This window comes from Homo sapiens, chromosome 8 (assembly GCF_000001405.40).
Source record: "Homo sapiens chromosome 8, GRCh38.p14 Primary Assembly".
Taxonomy (NCBI): Eukaryota; Metazoa; Chordata; class Mammalia; order Primates; family Hominidae; genus Homo; species Homo sapiens.
This window is the reverse complement of record NC_000008.11, coordinates 91,440,554-91,446,298: the sequence shown is the minus strand read 5'-3', so window position 1 is coordinate 91,446,298 and position 5,745 is coordinate 91,440,554. Positions and strand designations below refer to the sequence as shown.

The window sequence follows — 5,745 nt, the reverse complement described above, 5'->3', positions numbered from 1 at the left end:
CTTGACATAACAGCCATAGGCTTCTAAAACCTGGTGCTGCTATTTCAGTTAGGAGTAGGGAGATGGTTACAACAGAAAGGGGAGACAAGCAGAATATCTAAGTTCATATTCCCCATGGGCAAATGAAACCAAAGAACAAAATATGTGACAGGCAAAGCTGCCAGTTGTCATACTCCAAGGAATTACTAAACATTAATATGCTTACTTTCTACTTATTTTTTTCTATTAGTATTTTAATGAAATTGATACTTTAGGAAGCTGAGACAGAAAGATCTTTACTGAATCAAAGTTATTTATAAACACACCCCAGATCCCTGTGTGCTAGAAGCAGTGGTTTTCAGTTTCATTGCGCAAACCAGCACCATCAGCATCACCTTTGAACCTAATAGAAATGCAAATTTTCAAGTCCTACCCCAGAAATATTTAATCAGAAACTTTAAATACAGAGCCCTGGAAGTTTGTGCTTTACTAAGCCTTCCAGGTGATTGTCATGGACAGATAAGTTTGAGAACCACTGCTGTAAAGAAACTACTCAGCTTTTTGAAGGTGGGAACCTTTCAAAGGTGATTGAGTTTCAAAGCAAAGCAAAAACAACTCGTTAACACTGGTGAGCATACTTACTGGCTCACTTTTCCCCATTCTGCCTGCTTGTCTGTCATCGTGTTAGCATCCCCTGCATGAACAATGCCACAAGGACTCCAGTGTTCATCAGATGTCCTCAGGAGTTCCCTTCAGGAATCAGCATTCCTACAGGAGAAGCATGATGCATTCCCCCTCACCCATGATTCTTACCTGCCCAGGAACACCTACCTTTGCCTTCAGCCTTCTTCTTTCTACCCCATGGCCATGAGCCTTAGGAGGAAATGAAGTTTATTAACTCCAGACACTGTGTATTCATCTCTTTCCCACCTTTCCTCCCTGTCCTGTTCAGGATTCCTTCAGGCATCCCTTTATGGCCTGACTTCAGCAGGAAGCTGCTGTTTAAATGTGGGTCATGCAGCGAGTAGTGTGCCGCTGGGAGCTATGCTACTCTGCTTACTTTGTACCCTGTTGATTTCAAATGATCCTACTCTCAATTTTGCTCCAAACCTCTAGGTGATGCTTCCCTGGCACACAATGGCTGAGACAGCTCAACTCTGCCATGCCTTCTGAGAATCTGTTAAATACAGAGAATGGGTATCGGGCTTTAGTCCAAGAAGGATTTAGGAACATTTTCCTTATTTGTCATATACACAAAATATCCCTATGGCATGCACCCCTGCACAGTAATTTCTTTAGTAGGTATTTGGGTACTTGCTGTAACAAATGTATTTAAATCTTTTCGATCTGTGGATTCCTAGGTTGTTTTCCTTTTGTTACTCACTCAGTGTGCCTAACCTTTGCCAAACAACTGCAGAGCTATGTCCTGGCCACAGGTTTTATTTGCTGCCTTTAGTCATTTTCAATTGCTTCATAGAAGAAAATATGAGGGTAGAAGTCAATGGAAAGCAGGTTTAGGTAAGCTCCATTTGGTCTATATATATTGCCAAGAATACAGCATGTACTTGAAGCAAGGAAGGGATTTCTGTTCTGATTTGGAACACTATAAATCAAATAACTAAGGTTCAGCCACCCCCAAGACTGCAGACATGGTTCCCTCCCAATATTTATTGCTAAATGTCAGAACTTACAAATGCCAACTTGAGTATGCTGCCTGCATCTGGAAAATTATTTCTGGTTTGTCAGAAAATCCAGGGGCTGCTTTTGTTTGATGTTAGTGCTGTTCAGTTCTTGTTTCTGGGCTGTTTGAATGACAATCTTCTCATAGCATATCCTGTCAGAAAGGGTGAGAGTCACCTGGAGAAGCTGTAGACCTCATATTGCATGACACTTGTCTCCATAAATGCCAACTGACAAGCATCTCTTCAGAGGTGCCAACATTTAAATATTTCAAAGAAAGAGGTAGTGAGTGAGGAGATGTTTTCACAGCTATCTGGTATTGTTACTTGAGTTGTTACTTTCTGTGAGTGAGAAAATGATGCATTTGATGCCTACTTAGTGAACATCCCCTATGCAACAGATAATCTGATGGGCACAGCAGACACCAACCCTGCCCTCAAGAAGCTTATATCTTTTAGTACCCTTTGGGAATAATAAAGGCAGACTCCTTTTTTAGTCACTTTGATTCTACCCTCTCCTTCCGGGTATCAAAGCAGCTTAACACTGTGCTTGTTGACAAACACACTGAAGTACTCAGAGGTGATAGAGCTTCTCTAAGCAGCTCCACTTTGCACTGAGCTCTATGGGAAGGAATTATATTGTCATAGCAGCACAGCTATTGGCAAGGCACCTAGAACTCTTAATTGATCATGACGAATACAATCACTAAAGTTAAGGATATACTTTTCAGTAGACTAAGACTTTTCTAAAAATTTTATAACAACAGATCATCAATTTAGATTAGAGCAATATAAACATAATGCAGAACCACATATAACCTCCTTCCCCAGAAAAGCATTATACTTTTGTGTAACTGTATAAATATAACCATTTACAAACATGAAATACGAACTATTATAAGTATATGCTTTTGAATCCAGTTTCTTTTTTTTCTGAGAAAAAAGAAACTAGATTCAAAACCATTTTATATTGTTGTATAATATACCATTATTTGGACATGCTATCATTTTTTTAACCATTCTCCTAGATTAGGACATTTAATCTGTTCCTAATTTTCTTTTCTGTTTTTTTCTTGAGACAGAGTCTCGCTCTCTCACCCAGGCTGGAGTGCAGTGGCACCATCTTGGCTTACTGCAACCTCCACCTCCCAGGTTCAAGCGATTCTCCTGCCTCAGCCTCCTGAGCAGCTGGGACTACAGGAGCGTGCCACCAAGCCTGGCTAATTTTTGTATTTTTAGTAGAGACCGGGTTTCATGTTGTCCAGGCTGGTCTCAAACTCCTGACTTCAGGTGATCCACATGCCTCGGCCTCCCAAAGTGCTGGGATTACAGGCGTGAGCCACTGTGCCCGGCCTCTAACTTTCATTAGTTTGAATACCCCTATAACTTACATTCTTCTACATGATCTTTATCTTCGTTCCTTATTATTTCTTTAGGATAATTACCTTGAAGCAGTTAAATACTTAGGTCAAATCTCAAGAAGACTTTTAAGTCTTTTGGTTACACAATGGAAAAATATTTTCTATAAATGTTATATCAATTTATATTTTCATCAGAAATGTTTAAGAGCACCTATGGAGACTAAGATTTTTTATATTTAAATGAAATACTAAAACATCTTGTAAGTCAAAGAATATATAGGTTTTCTAAGCATGCTTCCTTCCAAATGACATTTTTAACATTATTCTTTGTGCATGTATAGAATATATGATATATGAGCTGCACTACAATAAGACAAATGATTTCCAGAACAGTAATTTTGACCTTATAGATGGACTATGAAAGCTATGATTTTAGTCATAGCAATATGTTCCTTGATTCCCCTTCTTTGCTTTTAAAGCACCCTGTTTCTCCTTTGGAGAATAAGGTCTCTGGTCCTTATAATCCCAACAGGCTTTCATTCAAACTACCATACCTTCGTCTACACACAAGAGGTAGAGAATATTACCCAAGGCCGGCCATTTCCAATATGGTCACATGATTCTGCTAAAGCCAATTAGAGTATTTTCTATAGCTTTTCACTGGAGCTGACAGGGACTCCAAAAAATATGTGTCTGGGCTGAGAGAAGCCATCTTGACTGGCACATTGTGAGAGTTCACCTGCAGAATGAGGTCAAATAGGGACAAGTAGAACAGTGAGCGAGTACCCTAATAATAATGTCTGATTTCCAGGATGAGCTACACCTGAAGTTGGCTTCCTTCCTGGAGTTCTAAGTTTCATGAGACAATAATTAATATTTAGTTCAAATTGGCTGTGAATTTTTTTGATACTCTCAAGCAAAAGAACCCATTTGAATAGGCAGCTATAAACTGTTCCATAGAGATTAAGGAGATATAAAATCTTAAGCCAAGTCAGAACTATATTGAGTAAAATGTGGTTCAGGGGGTTGGTGAAAGAATATATAGTATCATTTTGAACAAAACTACTTATCTAAAGAGTGGAACCAATTCTCAGGTTGAAGAAAATGAAAGGCCTTGTAGAAATGTACTCATTAGGTCTTACACACTACATCCATGCTTCTCTATAGATATGAAGTAAGGAAACTCCTACAGATACTATATCACGTTAGTTACTAAAGAGGGAAGGATCAAATGAGTAGAAAGCAACCTTCACTTCACTAAGTTAGCTTAGTTAGATGAAATTAATATATGTATGTTTCTTGTTGCTTGACTACAATCTTCAAAAGTGATTAAAGTAGCCTGCTTCTCTGTAGCATGTTAAATGGGCCTCTTTAGGACATAAATTATATATAGAACTATATAAGGTCAACATGTTTACCCCATTTAGACTCCATTTGATGTTGTGATGCATTCTTTGAAGGTATGCAATAGTTAAAACATCACAGGGTAATGGAAATAGCACTGAACTGAAAGCCAGAAGACCTTGTATAAGTCCAGCCTTTAGCCACAGCTAGTAGTCATGTAACCTTGATCTAATAATTTACCTCTCTGAGTTCCATTTTATTTATTGATACAACAAGAAATTTAAACTTCACAGGCTATAGCACTAACAGTCAAAGATTCATATGTTCAAAATATAACATTTCAAAATTAGGAATTAGTGTTTTCTCTGGTATATTAGTCCATTATCATGCTGCTATGAAGAACTGCCTGAGACTGGACAGTTTATAAAGAAAAGAGGTTTAATTGACTCACAGTTCTGCAGGGCAAAGGAGGCCTCAGGAAATTTACATTCAAGGCGGAAGGAAAAGCAAACACATCCTTCTTCACATGGCAGCAGGAAACAGAAGAATGGGTGCCGAGCAAAGAGAGAAGCCCCTTATAAAACCATCAGATCTTGTGGGAACTCACTCACTATCACAAGAATAGCATGGGGGAAACAGCCCTCATGATTCAGTTACCCTGCACTGGGTCCTTTCCACCACACATGGGGATTATGGAAACTACAATTCAAGATGAGATTTGGGTGGGGACACAGCCAAACCACCATATCATGTGAAAACTATTCTTTCTTCAATCACCACTTTGGTAAATCCCCTGAGCTCTCTAGACAGAAATATGACACATCTAAATACTCAAGATGGTTGAAAGTAAAAACTAGAAAAAGATATTCCAGACAAACACAGGAAACTGGTGTACCTATATTAATAACATTATTTAACATATAAGTATAATTTAACACATTGTGATAAAGTACATGTATTATACCCACTATAGAGATCAAGAAAGAGAATTTCAGGTGGCACAATCAGGCCCCACCTGAAACACACCAAGTGTCTTTAACTGCTCACAGCGTTTTTCCTCCCTCTCTGGAATATGACAGTGACTTTATGGCAATTATGTTCTTACTATACTTTATAAATTCACTGCCGTTTTTTTCAACTTGGTATAAAACAGAGTCATAGTATAATCATTCTTCTGTGATTTTTCTCCTTTAAGTTAACATTATATTTGAAAGATATTACTGGCACCTACAATTTGCATACTTATATTATCACATAATATTTCATGTTTGCCAGTTACTGATCTCTTATCCTTCATCACCCTACCTCTATAGTACTGGAGCTAGACCTTGTACATATTTCTCCTTTGTCAGCTAGCACAATGTTAAACTAGGTCAGTAGAG

General features: G+C 38.3%; 1 annotated feature.

Annotated features, from left to right (window-relative positions):
* Positions 205-772: an enhancer, noted in NCBI's record as "NANOG hESC enhancer chr8:92457755-92458322 (GRCh37/hg19 assembly coordinates)". NCBI's record gives its function as "activates a minimal SCP1, AML or CMV promoter by ChIP-STARR-seq in naive H9 embryonic stem cells {active_cell/tissue: H9 hESC(naive)}" and the evidence as "EXISTENCE:reporter gene assay evidence [ECO:0000049][PMID:30033119]".